This window comes from Homo sapiens, chromosome 6, assembly GCF_000001405.40.
Source record: "Homo sapiens chromosome 6, GRCh38.p14 Primary Assembly".
Taxonomy (NCBI): Eukaryota; Metazoa; Chordata; class Mammalia; order Primates; family Hominidae; genus Homo; species Homo sapiens.
In genome coordinates, this window is record NC_000006.12 from 75,990,481 (window position 1) to 76,007,099 (window position 16,619).

General features: G+C 38.8%; 1 protein-coding gene across 2 annotated transcripts in view, besides 1 other annotated feature; it reads right to left on the reverse strand.

The window, feature by feature from the left end:
• The window catches only part of IMPG1 (interphotoreceptor matrix proteoglycan 1), a 151,549-nt gene that overhangs the window by 69,367 nt on the left and 65,563 nt on the right, over positions 1-16,619 (reverse strand). For both annotated transcript variants that reach the window (NM_001282368.2, NM_001563.4), the window contains 3 exons: positions 14,807-15,054; positions 13,394-13,470; positions 12,438-12,516 (listed from right to left, as the gene is read on the reverse strand). In NM_001282368.2, the coding sequence (NP_001269297.1) occupies positions 12,438-12,516; positions 13,394-13,470; positions 14,807-15,054 (404 nt within the window). The remainder of the gene's footprint in view (positions 1-12,437; positions 12,517-13,393; positions 13,471-14,806; positions 15,055-16,619) is intronic.
• Positions 2,672-3,362: an enhancer, noted in NCBI's record as "OCT4-NANOG-H3K27ac hESC enhancer chr6:76702869-76703559 (GRCh37/hg19 assembly coordinates)". NCBI's record gives its function as "activates a minimal SCP1, AML or CMV promoter by ChIP-STARR-seq in naive H9 embryonic stem cells {active_cell/tissue: H9 hESC(naive)}" and the evidence as "EXISTENCE:reporter gene assay evidence [ECO:0000049][PMID:30033119]".

A 16,619-nucleotide genomic window follows, 5' to 3' on the forward strand; every position in this document is an offset into this window, starting at 1 on the left:
TGGTGGTTCATGTCTATAATCCCCACATTTTGGGAGGCTGAGGCAGGAGGATTGCTTGAGCCCAGGAGTTTGGGAACAGCCTGAGCAACATTAGGAGACCCCACCTCTACACACACACACACACACACACACACACACACATACACAATCTCATTTTCCTGCCTTTTACATATTTAAGGTCAGATGGATGATGTGACCCGTCACTTTGAGCAGAAGTGCATAACAATTCCAGAAGGTTGCTTAGTTGCCTGTGTAGACTCCCCTCCTGTAAACTGACAACTGCATGCAACTTGCAATCTACTGACACCTTCACAAATGCTGTTTCACTTTCTTAAAATGTAAAAACTGAAGGAGATTATTCACAGGAGTTTCTATCCATGCCCCCCAATCCATTACAGATATTCTTTTTATTTCTACCTTAGGACTTCGAAGATGTCACTTTCCCTCAAAGCAAGAACTACTTCTCTGATTAAAATGCTGATCACATTGTATACCTGTACTAATGCAATTCCCTACAATGGAACCCAAGGTGACATTTCTTCCTCATAGTCTCACAGGTGGCTTTGTCTGTGGTTGGTTATTCTCTGGCCTCAAACCATTTGCATGAAGGATGCTTCTCACTTTCTGTAAAAATGGACACGGTGGTTCACGCCTATAATCCCAGGACTTTGGGAGGCCGAGGTGGGCAGATCATGAGGTCAGGAGATTGAGACTATCCTGGTAACACAGTGAAACCCCATCTCTACTAGAAATACAAAAATTTAGTTGGGCATGGTGGCACACTCCTGCAGTCCCAGCTACTCAGGAGGCTGAGGCAAGAGAATCGCTTGAACCCGGGAGGCGGAGGTTGCAGTGAGCCAAGATTGCACCACTGCATTCCAGCCTGGGTGACAGAGCAAGACTCTGCCTTGGAAATAAAAAAAAAAAAAGGCAAAAGAGGCAGACACACTTGACTTCTCACCCTAACTGTGATGTTACCTCATTTGAGTCCAGATAAGGGAACATGATACAGAAACCCTTGCAGCTATGAAAACACCATGTCTCGATCACTTGAGAAGTGATTAATGGGAGAATGGAAAATTGTGGAACTGGTTAGATGCCACTTTGACCACCTAACCTATGCCAGCCCCCTTCTGAACAACCTTCTCTCTATTCTCTTTCCATTATTGAGTGCATATTTCCTGTCCTCTCTTCTTCTGCTACGAGCTCCTTCCAGTTCCTCAAGAATGGACACCTATTACCATCAATGACAAACACATTCTTTTATATTATAATTAAGTGCATCCTGTCAGGCAAACCTGCTTTCTCTTTGCACCAGACAGATTGTTGAATTGTGACTTGATTTTGTCTGTTCCAGTTCTGTCTTTGCATATATGGTACTGACATAACGTATAAGGCACCTTGTTTTTTTCCGACTGTGCTGAGCTCATTCAAGACATACTGTGATGATTAATTTGATGTGTCAACTTGGCTAGGGCACAGTACCCAGATATTATTGTATATGTTTCTGTGAAGGTATTTTAAAAGATGAGATTAACATTTAAATCAGTGGACTCTGAGTAAAGCAGATTACCCTACATAGTGTGAGTGGGCCTCATCCAATTAGCTAAAGGCCTCAATAGGAAAAAGACTGATGTCTGCAGAGGAAAAGGGAATTCTGCCAGCAGATGGCCTTCGGACCATCGACTGCAACAAGAACTGCATCAAAGTGCAACTTTCCCTGGTTTTCCAGCCTGCCACCTGCAGGCTTTGAACTTTCAGATTTTGAACTTGCCAGCCTCCACAATAATATGAGCCAGCTCCTTAAATAAATCTCTCTCTCCCTCTCTCTCTTTCTCATTGTGTTCCATTCCAGCATGAAATTCAACAGCAGGTGTTCAACTCCAGCATGAAAAGAAATTTGGTGTCTTGTGTATAACATAGATGACCATGGGGGTGTTTCATTTCATGGTGATCCAGACTCTTTGACCTATCCTTCTCCATCCACCATTATCCAAAGTAGTCCCTGGTTTATTTTACTTTTTAAATAAAATATCTCTTGTATCATCTTCCTTCCTTCCTTTGTATCCATGCCCCCAAAGCTTCACACCAAATACAGAACAAAATCCTCCACTTTCCTACTTTTCACCTACCAAGCTGTAGGCAGACAAACTTTCCCTAAGCCCCATTTTCATTACCACCTTCATTTTCTGAAAGCCCAGAACAAACTCCTTTTTCTGACTTTTAAGGCCCTGCTTGATATATATCCTTCCCCTACTTATTTCTCAGCATTCTTCCCTGAAACTCACTCCAGTCTCTGCAGCTTTGCTTATGAAACTTATTATACTTGGAGGGTCATCTCCTTTCTCTTCACGAAAGTCCTTTATACCCTTCTCAACCCAAGCAAAGCTCCATGAGTGCTTTCTTTGATATCTCTGCTTCTCACTGTTTTTCTCCTCTTCTGAACTAAAATAATTATGTACCTCTGTTTAGTCTATGTAAAGTTAAAGTAGTATTTATATTTTATACATAACATCTTACATTGTTCACTATTTCATATGTGTAGGTCTTGAATAAAGGAAATAGATGGGAAGTGTACTGAGGTCTCTTGTGAACTTAATCTTCCTTTTCAGAGCCAGACTTTGTGCTTGTTGAACAAAGAATAGTGAATGTGGAAATTCTGGTGTTGTTAATTAGTTATTAACAACTATTAGTTGTTAATAGTTCTTAATATGAAATTTCAATTTACCCCCAAATTTAGGCCTCGGAAACATCACAGACATATGTAACGGGGCATTGGTATTTAAATTGGGATTACATCTTTGACAGCTGTCGTAACAGAATACCATAGATCAATGACTCAAACAATGGATATTTATTTCTCACAACTCAGGAGGCCATGAAGTCCAAGATCAAGGCACCAGAAAAACCAGTGTCTAGTGAGGTCACTCTTCTTAGTTTGTAGGCAGCTGTCCTCTAGTTGTATCCCCACATGGCGGAAAAGGAGAGAGAGAAAGAGAGAGAGAAAGGGAGAGAAAGGGAGAGAGAGAGAAAGAAAGAGAGAGAGAGAAAGGGAGAGAGAAATCATCCCTCTTTTGTCTCTTCTTATAAGGGCTCGGCCCTCATGACCTAATTACATCCCAAAGGCTCTTACCTTTGACCTAATTACCTTCCAAATACCATCACAGTGGGGATTTAGGTCTTTCTTCCTTAAGTCTTACAGTAACCTTTCTCAAAAAACGTTCTCAATTTTCCACACATGATAACTGAGTGATATATTTTTAAGATTTAAGATTTTTGTTAAAATAGTCACAGTGGCTTAATTTTGAAAAGCATTTAAAAGTTTATTCAAGCAGGGCTGTTCTCCTTGTCATTAGAGCTGTTTACTACTGAGGGATGATCAGAGAATAGCGCTCAATAGGTTTGTCCTAACTGTTTCAGTGCCAGCAAGTGTGAAAGGAAACAGAACCAAGCCAGCTTCCAGGTAGTCTGTGAGGGGCTGCAGAGCTCTGTGGCATGGTGCAAGCCTCTCCTCCTGGCCTGAGCTGCTGTGTGCTGGTTTTCTGGCACTGGTGAGGTGCTAGCACTTCAGCTAGAGTTAGCAGGATACAAATACCACTCCTGCAGTGTGTTAGGGTCCACTTGAAGAAACAAGAAGGGGTAGAATACAGATGCTAAATCCAAAGTGAAAAATATGCCAAACACCCAAAACTGAAATTGGGAAACAAAACAAAACAAAAGTCACTGGGCCGTTGGAATGAAACCTCTAAATCAGGATGTGTAGGAGGACAAAGCATGCATAGCTGCCTCTAGCTCAATAGATTTAAAGTAATCTGGGTGACAGTTTCCTAAAGAAGGTCTGAGATAGAAATCTTGAATCCCTAGAATCATTCCATTTACCTATTTATCTATTTCCTGTGTTTATCAACCTCTGCTTTTTTCTGTAAAATACTGGATAGTTCAATGAAAAGTACTGCTCATAATGGATACTGTATTAGTCTGTTCTCATACTGCTCATAAAGACATATCTGAGGCTGGGTAATTTATAAAGGAAAGAGGTTTAATGGACTCACAGTTCCATCATGGCAGAAGGCAAGGAGGAGCATGTCACGTCTTACATGGATGACAGCAGGCATAGAGAGAGAGCTTGGGCAGGGGAACTCCTTTTTATAAAACCATCAGAGTTTGTGAGATTTATTCACTATCACAGAACAGCACGGGAAAGACCCACCCCCATGATTCAATTACCTCTGGGTGGGTCCCTCCCATGACACATGGGAATTGTGGGAGCCACAATTCAATATGAGATTTGGGTGGGGATACAGCAAAACCATATAAACCATATTAGATACTTACCAGTCTTTTCCTTTGTATGGATGTGAGCTAACAAAAAAGGATGGAAGCAAAAAACTGACCCTGTCAAAGACCTGAGAACTAGCAAAGGCTAGCATCTCCTAGGATGTGCTCACTAACCACTGACTAAAAAGAGGTAAGAGGAGGGCAATATTTGAACACCTGAGAGGCACGGCTAAAACCAGTTCACTGACCTGGTACAGAAACTGCAGACACATATATTACCACTTTCTGTTAATGAGCCTGTACAGACATTATTCATCAATCAGGCCAGCCTTTCTTGCTGAATCCATTCATGGATTCAGAATTTATGTTGGTTTTAATTTTTAAATACCAATAAAATCAATTCACTTCTATTCATCTCTCCTTCCATCACCAATGTCCTAGCTATCAACATTTCTAGACTGAATTACCGTTAAGACTCTTCTAATTGATTGCTTGCATTTGCTGACCTCCAGCCAGTTCTCCACAATATAGTCAGAAGGATCTATTTAAACCTAAATTTGAGGTGTCATTGTTTTTCTTAAAACCTTTTAGTGATTCTTTGCAGGGCTTATAAAGCTCTATGCTTCTAGAGCTTCACCATTTTCTCTCCAAATTCCTGTGCTCTAGCTACGATGGCTTTCTTCACTTTCCTTCAATGTGCCACACCACTGCCAGCTTCAGCTACTCCCCTCTGCTGAAAATACCCTTCACCACCCCTCCTCAGTTTTTATTTTTTGCCTTCTTGTCGTTCAGATCTCAGTTTAAACATTGTTTCCTTAAGAGAGTCAATTGGCTACATAGAATTTATAATAAGGAATACTGTGTATTTTATTATTTGTAAATTGTGTTACATATCCTCTGTATCAGCAAAATTTTATAATAAACTTCTCTATGCATATATATTCCACATTGTTTTTAGATTGGCTGTTAAGCATTTACTAGCACATCACTGACGAGCTTCAGTGGTCACGGGGTAATTGGTTGTATTGGTTTCCTTCTTTTCTGCACTTCACTTCTCCATTGCCTTACTGAATTTACTGGTATCATCCCTGAAATAAACTCCTTGTAATTGAATCCTTGTTTCGGGGTCTGTTTTGGGGGAACCCAAATCATGACAGGCATAAAGTATATCTGCCTTGTTCACCAACTTATCCCCTGTGCCTAATAAGCACCACATAAATATTTGTTGAATGAATAAATGAATGATCACAGCATCCCAGAGAGCCACTGGTAATTAAGGTAATTCATTGAAGTCCTTTTTACTCTGTGGTGTCCTGGAACATAAAGAGTTTGCTTGAATCTGTGGCCTACAGTGCCCCTGGAATTCACCTGTGATGGAACGGTTTCCCATCTAAAGATGTGCAGAGAATCTACATGGGACCCCTGGGGAAATCAACGTGCACTAGTGGCATATGGGGCAAAGCCAGAGAATGGACTTACATGATATAAGGGAGGTGAGGGAGAGAACTCTCCTGAGAAAGAAAAAGGAGAAACAATGGCTTCAAGGTGAGATAAAGTCACCAAGAGTTACTGAAAACTGCTTGGTACACACTATTATCTGAATATGTACCTGTATTCATGTGAAGGAGTATCAGCATGGAAGGAAGAGAAAGATGCAATTTCTAACTACAACCACCGTTAACTGCTTTTATCCCCGCATAAGAGGCAGGATTTATCTTAGAAACAGGTGATCTCTGTTCAGTATAATGTTGGAAAGAGATTAAACAGATCACTACTCTTCATAAAAACTGGACTGTAACTTGGGAAAGGAGTTGGGAGCAGCCTGGAAAAAGGGTGGTCATGAGGAGGGCTTTGAGGGAATGAGGGCTTAACATCATGATGCAACAGGGAATGACCAAGATAGCACTGGCTAGGGAGAACTTTCCAGCAAAGGATGTGACTGACATGTCAAGACAGGACAGCTATGTAATAACTTGAGGTTGGTGACTGGGTGGTGCTGCACTATGGCTTCCTCCTGTCCTTATCACCTCAACCCACAATAAAGTTGATCTACTCATAGAAATATCATCTCTGAATGGTGATGAGGAATAATTATGGAAATCTAGACTGTTCACCTCCAGAATGAAGAGGGAGTGAAAGACGGGAACAGATTCAAAAAGGCAGATGGAATAATATCTCTTCACTAGAGGGCAGAAAGTCAGAAAAATTTTCTTGGGAATTGCCAAAATTTGAGGGAGGGTACTGAATTTCCCAAACTGAAATTCTGAAGGACATATTAAGTCACCTGACATTTCTAGGCTAAATCTAGAAGTACCAAATTTGAGAGTTGAAAGAACTTTGATTCACTTTTCATCTTTTCCTGGGCATCATAAAGATTGTATCTAGGGATGAGGTGAAATTGGAAGTCTTAGTTGAATGGCCATTCTTTCTTTTCTTTAGATGACATTTTTCTTGTAGACCTCTCTGAATAATTTTTATAAGCAATAAACTTCTGTTAGGAAAACCTTGCTCCCTGGTAAGAAAGAACAGGCAAAAATATTGACCACTGTTGCCTAAACTCAGTTCGGCTGAGTTGTTCTTAAAACTCTTTCAAGTCTTACTTTTACCCTTTCATCCTAAAGTGGAGCAATTTAAATAACATCTTTGCCAAGCCTTCCTGATTGAGTTAGGAAGTGTACATTTTTGGGCTGGGAGAGAGGCTAACTGCAAATTTCTTTCCCTGCATACCTACGTTTAATCAATGTGGTAGTGGGTACATCACATGAGGTGGAGCTGATTAAATTTCTTCAGCACTCTTATTTTGATGAAAGTATTTACCAATAAGGGACATTGCCTTACACGTGAGGCTGTCTGAGGAGCTGCGTGGGTACCAGCACAGGGAGGGCACATATCCTCCAGGCATTTACTGTCTGAGATGATAGTACTGATAGGCCCAACAAGGTCGACAGCAGTGACAAATAGTTATGAAACTGCAATTATATGCCAGCCACTGTGCTTAGCACAGGAATTTTAAAAAAAGGAATAAGAACATATCTTTTTACTTCAGGAATTCAGTCTTGGAGGGATTCCAGACATGCATAGCAATACTTTCAATTCTGTATTGAATTGAAATGTTTGATGGCAGTCTAGATGACTTTTTGCTGTGGAATCAGGGAACAGATGGTAATTATAAATCCTTTTCAGGGAGCCGTTGGGGAAAACTTCACAGAGAAAGTAGCATGTTAGCTGAAACTAAAATATGAGTTGGAGGTCATCAAGCTGCAAGAATGGAAGACTATTACAGGCACAAGAAAAAATAACTGTGTAAAGGCACAAGAACGTGACAATGAATGACAAATTTTGGCAATGGTGAGTGGTGTGACCAGAACTGATGGCCAAATACTGCTTCTAGAACATTGATTTGGCTCTAAGCTTTTTACTAGACAGATTAAAAAGGGAACTAGATTATTCCAATAAAGTCTGACTTTCATGGAGATATTGTAATACAAATTCATTCATTCACTGCTGTAATTCCTTTAACATGTATTAATTTTTAATATAGCATCTGGCTGGACACTGCCAATATAGGAATGAATAGAGACAGACGGCTGTCCCTGACCACATGGAACATTAGCAGCTTGGTTTTACATTGAGATCATTCAGTTTAGCTCATGTCACGGATTCCTTCTGATGGAGTCAAAGGCTGAGATGAGACAAAGAAAAGTTGGAAATGTGCTAATTTTAACATATTACCTAGATGGGCAATAAAAGACAAAGCAATGTCCAATAGTACAGTAGCTCTGCTTAAAGTTTGCTTCTTCACTTAAAATACTGCAATTTATTAAGAGACCTGGTTTCTGTCTTAAATGGAATATGTTGCAAGTGAAAAAGTCTGCAATTTGGGAGGGAGGACACTAAAGAACTTCTCTCCTGATAGACCAGATGATCATTCTAATCAACTAAAAGAGAAATGTATTGCCGCCTACACGTCTAAACCAAACCAAACCACAAAAAATTTTTACCCTGTGAATTAATACTATTTTTGAACAAGTTGGATACATGTTGTGTGGAGGACAGAATATCAAGTTTCTCCTATATGTGGATGACTCATTTTTATGAAATAGGAGTGATCTTTTTGAGATGGAGTCTTGCTCTGTCACCCAGACTGGAGTGTAGTGGAGCGATCTTGGCTCACTGCAACCTCTGCCTCCCAGGTTCAAGCAATTCTCTTGCCTCAGCCTCCTGAATAGCTGAGATTACAGGCATGCAGTACTACTCCTGACTTATTTTTGTATTTTTAGTAGAGACAGGGTTTCACCATGTTGGCCAGGCTGGTCTCGAACTCCTGACCTCAAGGGATCTGCCTGCCTCGGCCTCCCAAAGTGCTGGGATTACAGGCATGAGCCACTGCGCCCGGCCGATAGGAGTGATCTTAACAGATAACTGGCTCTACAAAAAAGAATGGCTTGGGATCAGCTACTACAAAAAAACAGTAACAATAGAAGACCCCACAATTCTATACAACATACCAATTCTTTTAGTGTCCTAGATGCATATTTTGCAAGAACTTTATCTCAGAATTAACTACTAAGTTAAACTGCTGAAGCTGAAAGATTTCTTTGAGTGCTTTACAGAGATTTTAATGGCCTGGTGGGTGTTTGGTGACACTAACCTTAAAAATTTTCCAGGCTAAAATTATCTCAGTAATACTGTGGTGCAGGATTTTGGAGCCCTAATTTTCATTTTACCTGTACATGGGAAAAGGCCAGAACTGTTTTATGAGGGAGGGAAGGCTTGCTCTTGTCCAGAGTGCCCCTGCACTTTTTTTTTGTTTGTTTGTTTTCTGTTTTCCGTTTTCCATGTATAACTGTCTTTTTATCACGAATGTTTCCCAGTTAGGGTTTCCATTTTTCATTAAGATATGTCATTTCTACTCCCATTTGGGCTGATTATGAAAGCATATGGATCTGCTCTTGTCAATGTGGAATATTTGCACTCTAGGTCCAGGTCAGCAAATATAACTCTTCTTGCTCAATACAAATCACAAGCTCAAATATGAGATATAATTTCTACTTATAGAGCATTGACTGAAGGTTAGACAGCACAGCTATTCCTCTAAATAATGCAAAATCAATTCTTGAATTAAGGCAGACTGTCAGCACCTAGCCCCTCCTGGAACTTCTGTAATGAACTTGGCTTTGGCATTCATTGCACATGTCCAGGGAGGGCCTTAAAGGAAACACTTGACACTGGTTTTACACAGCAGGAAGGTTCATGTGGACAGGACATGGTACTATAACCGAGACTGTCCTCCTTATGAGAATTCAGCAGATAAATTTTTCTCCTAAGCAATTACCATGCTGTAAGCATGCAGATCTATATTAGGTGACTAATTGTATTTTCCTCTTTACACAGCCTGTTAAGAAGCTCAGAGTCAAATCATGAAGCATCTAAAGCAAACCTACTGAACTCTATGATGTTTATTTTGTATATGATTTTTCCTACAGAGTTATCTTATTTTAATAAATTTATTGATGTGAAACTTATAACACATAAAATTAACTATTTTAAGGTAAATGATTCAGTGGCATTTGGCACATTCACAATGTTGTGTGATCACCACCTCAATCTAGTTCCCAAACACTTCCATTTCACTAAAGGAGTAATCTTTGTTTTATTTTCTCTTCCATTTTTCTTTCCATTCTTTAAAACAAAATCTTTTTGTATGGATCCATGTCTGTAAATCGCTATAAATCTTTTTTAAAATGATGTAGGATTTTAATAAGCAAAATTAAAAAAATTTAATGATAAGCCACACTGCAGGATATGGAGGAGTAGTAGGTAGGGTATATGAGAAGAACCAAGAAGGAGTCACTTTGTGGAAGCCCAGATGTAGGAGTTTCAAGAGCGGGGTGGTTAACAAGAGTCACGTGCCAGAAATGTCAAATGAAAAGAGGATGGAAATGAGACTGCTAAATTGATCAATTAGGAAGTCATCTGTGACTTTTGTGAAAGTTACATCCCTGCTTTATGGGTTAGAGGTGAAACCCTGTGGTGATTAGGAGGTGACATAATAGAGACTCAGAAGCCTAGACAATTTAGAAAAATTGACAGAGTAGTGAAATAGAGAGAGAAGAGGCTGTGGTTTGAGGGCAAAGCAAGTTTGAGGTTATGCTTTTTGCAAAGGATGGAGCTACTTAAGCCAAACATAGTATAATAGATGTAGAAAACTTGAATAACGATCCTGGCTGTGCCGCAAGCTATGATATGACCTTGAACACGGCACTTCACATTTCTAGCCTTGGCTTTCTCATTTGTGAAACACAGAAGCTTAACCAAATTATCTCTAAGATTTCTTCCAGCTTTAGTGTTCTATGGTATATTCATGAGTAAAAGGAATGTATAAATAAAATGGAAACAGTAAGGCAATTTGGAAATAAGATAATGCTTTCATCATAGATATACTATTATTTTTATTAATCTACCTGAAATGCTAATCTTATAAGAAAGTTTTATGATAGAATGAAAGAAAAGTATTCAGTGAGTGCTTAAGATCAATCATTTCATGAAAAGTTTTGTTTTGTTTTGTCCAAACAACTCTTAAAATAATTTGGATGTCAAAATAGTGGTTGATATGGATTGTGGTTAATTATAAATGGCATAAATTCTTCCATACTTCTCCCATCAAGAGAGAAGCTCTATGTCCCCTCCCTTTGAATCTAGATGGGCTCTGCAGCTGCCTAGCAATTGGAATGTGAGGAAATGATGCTGTTTTTAGGCCCTTAAGATATTAGAATACTGACACTCTGAACTCAGCTACCATGCTGTGGTGAAACCCAAGCAACCCTGTGGAGAGACCTGTGTAGAGAAGAAATGAGGCCCCCAGCCAACAGCTTTGGGTGAGCACTGATTTGCCAGCCAGTGAGTGAACCGTTTTGGAAATGGATCTTCAACACCAGTTGAGATATTCCAGCTGACACAACATGGAGCAGAGAAAAGCTGTCCCTGCTGATCCCTGCCAAAATTACAGATTTATTGGCAAAATAAATGATTATTGTTTTAGGCCACTAACTTTAGGGATGGTTGTAATGCAGCAATAAATAACCATGTCAAGAAGTTAACATTTATTCACTGATAATCATGTAAATGAAATCCAATTTGTATAATTAATTCTGCTATCATACCATATATGTATTCCTGAAATACCTTGCATTCTGTAAAATGGCATACTAATTGCACAGTGTTTATGAGGAAAATACAGTTAAGATAGTCCACTCAAAACTTGTAGAATGTAGAGACCTCTAACTAAAACAATAGTAATCTTATTAAATATACCAGTCATTGCAAATCTCCAATGGCATTTGTACTTATAATCACAGTACATTCTTATCAGCCTAGTATCCTGGGGCTTGTGTTTTTTACTTGTAGTTTTACCACAGGGCTCTATAGAGTGGAAAGAATAGGGGTTCTTGGAGCCACTAAATCAGCTATTTTTTGCACTAAAAAAGGCTCTCTGCAAGATTTTTAGTTGTTTTCTTCCCTAATGTCTTCATATGTTGCTAAATATTTCTCTTTAACTGTGAAAAAGTTTGATACTATTGCCTCAAAATTAACCTTCTTGGAGATTCAAAAGTGAATCACTAAGACTTCAGTGTTTACTGATATTCTTTTTTACTTACACATGTGCTAATTTACACTAAAGAAACACATGTAGCAGAACAGCCTGTATCCATAGTCAGCATGTAAAAGGCACAGGAATACATATAGTGATTGTAAAGGCCCAGTCCACGGTTGACATGGCTGCTTGTCATGGACTTGGGCCTTAGGACCTACCTTGTCCTCATGGACTCTCAGTTTCCAAGCCCAGAGGAGATTGTTGTTCTGGGTGAGCAGCAGTTGGTGCTGTTTTGCTTTCAGCCTCCTTGACCAGTTCCATTAGAAAAGGGCTGCCGGTGCTGGCTGTAGGACTGGGAACTAGAGCTGAAGGAAGGATGCTGTGGATGTCCTCCTCTGCAGAAAGGTTAGTTCAATGGACTGCTTTTCTGTTGGAAATGCTGGTGGCAGTGAACCTTTTCCTGGGTTCGGGATGGCTTTGTCACTGGTCTTTGAGGCAGTATCATAATGGGATTCCTCAAAGCATATGTTGTCATCTAACATAGACTTTGTGAGGGGAAACTTACCAGGTAGACCATGCTCTGCTCCGTCCACTGTCTCAAGCTGGGGTTCAACAGGAGGAAGTTCTGGACTCAAAGTAGCATCCTGAAGAATGAATTTTGCAAGACAGATGTTGAGAAAGGATGTTTGTATGTATATGAGAAGGGCTATACCCATATTTCAAAATTTTCATTTAAATTTAGGCAAACTATTTTGTTGTTGACTTGAATCTACTATGGAGGAAGGTTCTGATATAGAAATATGTTCTAAAAGGATAACATCCATTGATACAGTGGTAAAATAAGATCTATTGCTTCTCGGATAACTGAATCTGCCTGAATAGACTTAACTAACAGCTAAGATACTTTGATTTATGTCAATCATGTTATGAATTATTTCATTTTAGGAGGGAATAAAGCTTAGTCAGCACTTCTATTTATGAACACCCCAGTGACAACTTCTGGCATAAATTAAATAAACATAGGTTTAAATTAAATACAAAAATTATTACTGAATTTATTATTTACTTTTAAAGACATTAATTTGTATTTATCAAACCCCCATAAATAAATACATAGGTAAATCTTTAAGTCATAAAAACAAATTTATAAAGTATGATCATGTTTATATATATTTCTGAAAGTCAAATAATATGTTCTGCTTTAATTATTCTTTTCAGTTCATGAAAATTTGTTTGTTTTATTAAAAACAGAGCCCATCCTGATTCTAAATGAAACAAAAATCTAACTAAATTGAAGGAAACTTTGAACTTTGAGATATTTAAAATGCAAGTTGTATTATATTTTATTAATACGGATACTGAAAGTGGGTTAAGCAAGTGCTGCTTGTAAAAAACAGAAAAGAATTTAATTAGCATTGCAAAGGGGATTTTGCTCTGTTCATTTCTTAAGCTGATTTGTTCTTTGGTGGAAGGTTTTGAGACTTTGTTCCTAGTTAAAGAACAAAAGGACAACAAACTTACCTCTGTTATAACAGCAAAAGATGTGGGCAGCTCTGATTGGGTGTCAGGACCAAAGGCTGGCAGTGATCCAGCAATTTCTATGGGTAAAAAATCACAAGATTTGAATGTATCTTTCCTTTTTCTTTTGTGGTTGGGACAATAAAACAGTCCAGGTTGAAATATGCGGAATAACCAATCCTTAAGGAGTAGTACAACAAATCATTAGGAAACCAGAGGCATAGAAAAAAGGTCATTAATCTGAATGATATATTGAAGGACAGTTGCAAAGGGTGCATCTTGCATGTTTATGTGATAAGAATAGTTATTAGGGTGGATTTTTAGGGTGCTCAGTTTTATTCTATAGATTTGGACCAAGCAGGCTGGCTAATTATCTAAACCATTAGGGATAAAAATATGACTAAACTGATAAGAAACAAAATGACTAGAATAAATACTGGAACCAAGGATCATTTGTGGCAAACTTTCAACCTAAAGCCTGATTCTCAGAATGACACAGAGGGCTCAAAAGGGACAAGCCCCGAGTATCAGGTTGTCTCTGAGACACTTGTGAAGTTGACCTTTTCTTGCCTATGAATTTCCCTGGCCCTTCGTCTTGTCTCAAGAGACCTTTATGAAGTTTTCTAGTGTTAAGAGTGCCTATCTTAGGCAGAAAACAGAACTGGCAGAAAATGACAGTTTCATGCCATGTTGTACTAAAATGGCATTTCCAGTGTCCATCTACTTTGCCATTTACTGAACCTACTGAGGACTGCCCTCTGAGGATCCTAAGTGTGCCTGATGATCTTGTTGACTTCTCTAGATCCACTCTCCCCTCCCCTCCCTGCTACTTTCTGCCCCAGAAGGTTGAATAATATGGACTATATCAATGGTTCCTTGGGCTCTGTCTTTGGCATGGCATACAACATTAGGCAACACTTCAAGTCTGGAGATAGTAATGAGGCTTGCTGCTTCTAGCCTCAGGGAACTCTCCTAATCCTTTGTGTACAGACAAACCTTTACAAATGGTCCCTTTATTAAACTCTCCTCAAATTATACTAATTTGAATGTGCCATCTGTTTCTCGCTGAGACCTGACCAATTGACTACATGAGAGAATATGTTTTGATTGTGCCAGGGTAACAGAACTGTCTGTGGGTTCTTTTCTCTGCCTTCGTTCTCCGCAGTTGACTTGGACTGAACTGAAACCTTTGGATTCTCCTAGAACTATCCTTGGTAAGAAGTGGGTACCAAAGACTCATCAAATGAGACACAGGAAGGAGTGAGAAAAGCTAGAAATGATACCATATGTATTCCTGTCACAGTAATGATCGACTTTAGAAGACCCAAGTTAAAATGACAGTTTCCATGAGACATTCACATTCTTAGTCTCTGCCAAAATGAGAATAAACTCAGAACTAAGCAATCATTAACTGACCATCAGTGAACTGAATTGTCCCCACATCCAAAGATTGTTCTTCCTCTAGTGCTTTGCTGATCAGCCTTTTGAGGTCTGTAGCTGTGAGATAGATTTCTGGTTGCTTGTCCTCCTCCATGGTTCCATGATAGACTTCCTCACTTTCAATTTTGTTGGAATCAAAAGACAGGAGGTCACTTGCAGGGCTTTTTGCTTCTGCACTGTGTCTCTTAAAGATGGCCGTAAGTTGCATCTCTGTGGAGCTTGAGCTGTAGATAGCAGAGGACACATTCCCCACCCAAAGCCATTGTTACATGCCTTGCAAAGAGAATCACTAGATTGCTACAAAGCTTCAGGATAGCTTCCACCTCTTTCCTGATGGGCTCGGAGAGAATATCCCACTTTAAAACATTTCAACATTTATCAGAAACTTAAAATATGAAAAAAGAATAAATATATCTTTTAGTTCTAAAATAGAATGGCAGGAGGGAGGTCAGTCCACCTCAAAGAAGGATTACTAACTGAATCAAGTGACCATAGATTTTTACTTTAGGTTTTTTTTTTTCTTTCTTTCTTTTATTTTTTTTTTGCGACAGGGTCTCACTCTGTTACCCAGGCTGGAGTGCATTGGCATGGTCATGGCTCACTGTAGCCTTGAAGTCCTGGGGCCCAGGTGATCCTTCTGCCTTATCCCCCAGCATAGCTGGGAACACAGGAAGGAAGTGGGCTAATTTTAAATTTTTTTGTAGAGACAGAGTCTTGCTGTGTTGCCCAGACTGGTTTCAAACTCATGGCTCAAGCGATCTGCCTGCTGTGGCCTCCCAAAGTGCTGAGGTTACAGGCCTGAGCCACTGTGCCCACCTAGGTCTTTTTGAAAAAGTGCTTTTTGTCAAAAAAGTTGCTGGTATTGACCACTATTTTTTGTGATCTTATAAGTCATGCCGTGCCAATCAGGAAGAAGGATGAATTATCCTTTCTTCTACAAATAGCCTCCTTTAGGAAGGTCTATGAAATAGCAATGTAAGATATAGCAGTAGGACAATAGTATATATATATATGTATATTATATATATGCACACAATATATATATACTATTATGCATATACACATATATGTAAAATATATATATATAGTATATATATGTAAAAAAAGTCCAAATTACCCATCCATATACCCATATATGGGTATGTGTGTATATACATATGTATATAGGTGTATATATACACACATATATATACACCTATATACATATGGGTATATATACGTGTGTGTGTGTGTATGTGTATATATATATATACATATGTGTTGTAACCAAGTCAAAGGTTCAGTTCTTAAGGCTATTTCTTTTCTACTTTTTTAAAATAAGTATTTTTTAATTAAAAAAATACAACTTTAAATGATACATAATACTCTTTTCCCTCAAGCTGCTTTTAAAATAACATCTTAGAAGGAAGGTGTGAGAAAAGAGAAAAATAAGCAGGACATAGGTAACTGTATTTATTATCCTATTCATTAACTCAAAGCTTTTTTGCATGCAAAAATGAAACAGGATTCTCTATGTCTCTGTCCTCAGGAATTAGGTTTTACCTTTAGTTCATGTCATAAATCTAGACAGAGTGATGTAGAAGTGTTTTAAAGGCCACAGAAACTGATCACGTGTATTCTTGGTGGTTTTTCAGATGACACAATCATTTAGAGTCTATCGTTTGTTATTTCACTAGTCAATTACAGAGCCAAAGTTGATTCTTATTACTGAGCTCTCCAAGGTATAGTGGGCCCTTTTCTCAGTTCACATTGACCTTGGAAAGGAGCAAATTAGTTTCTCTGCTTTATT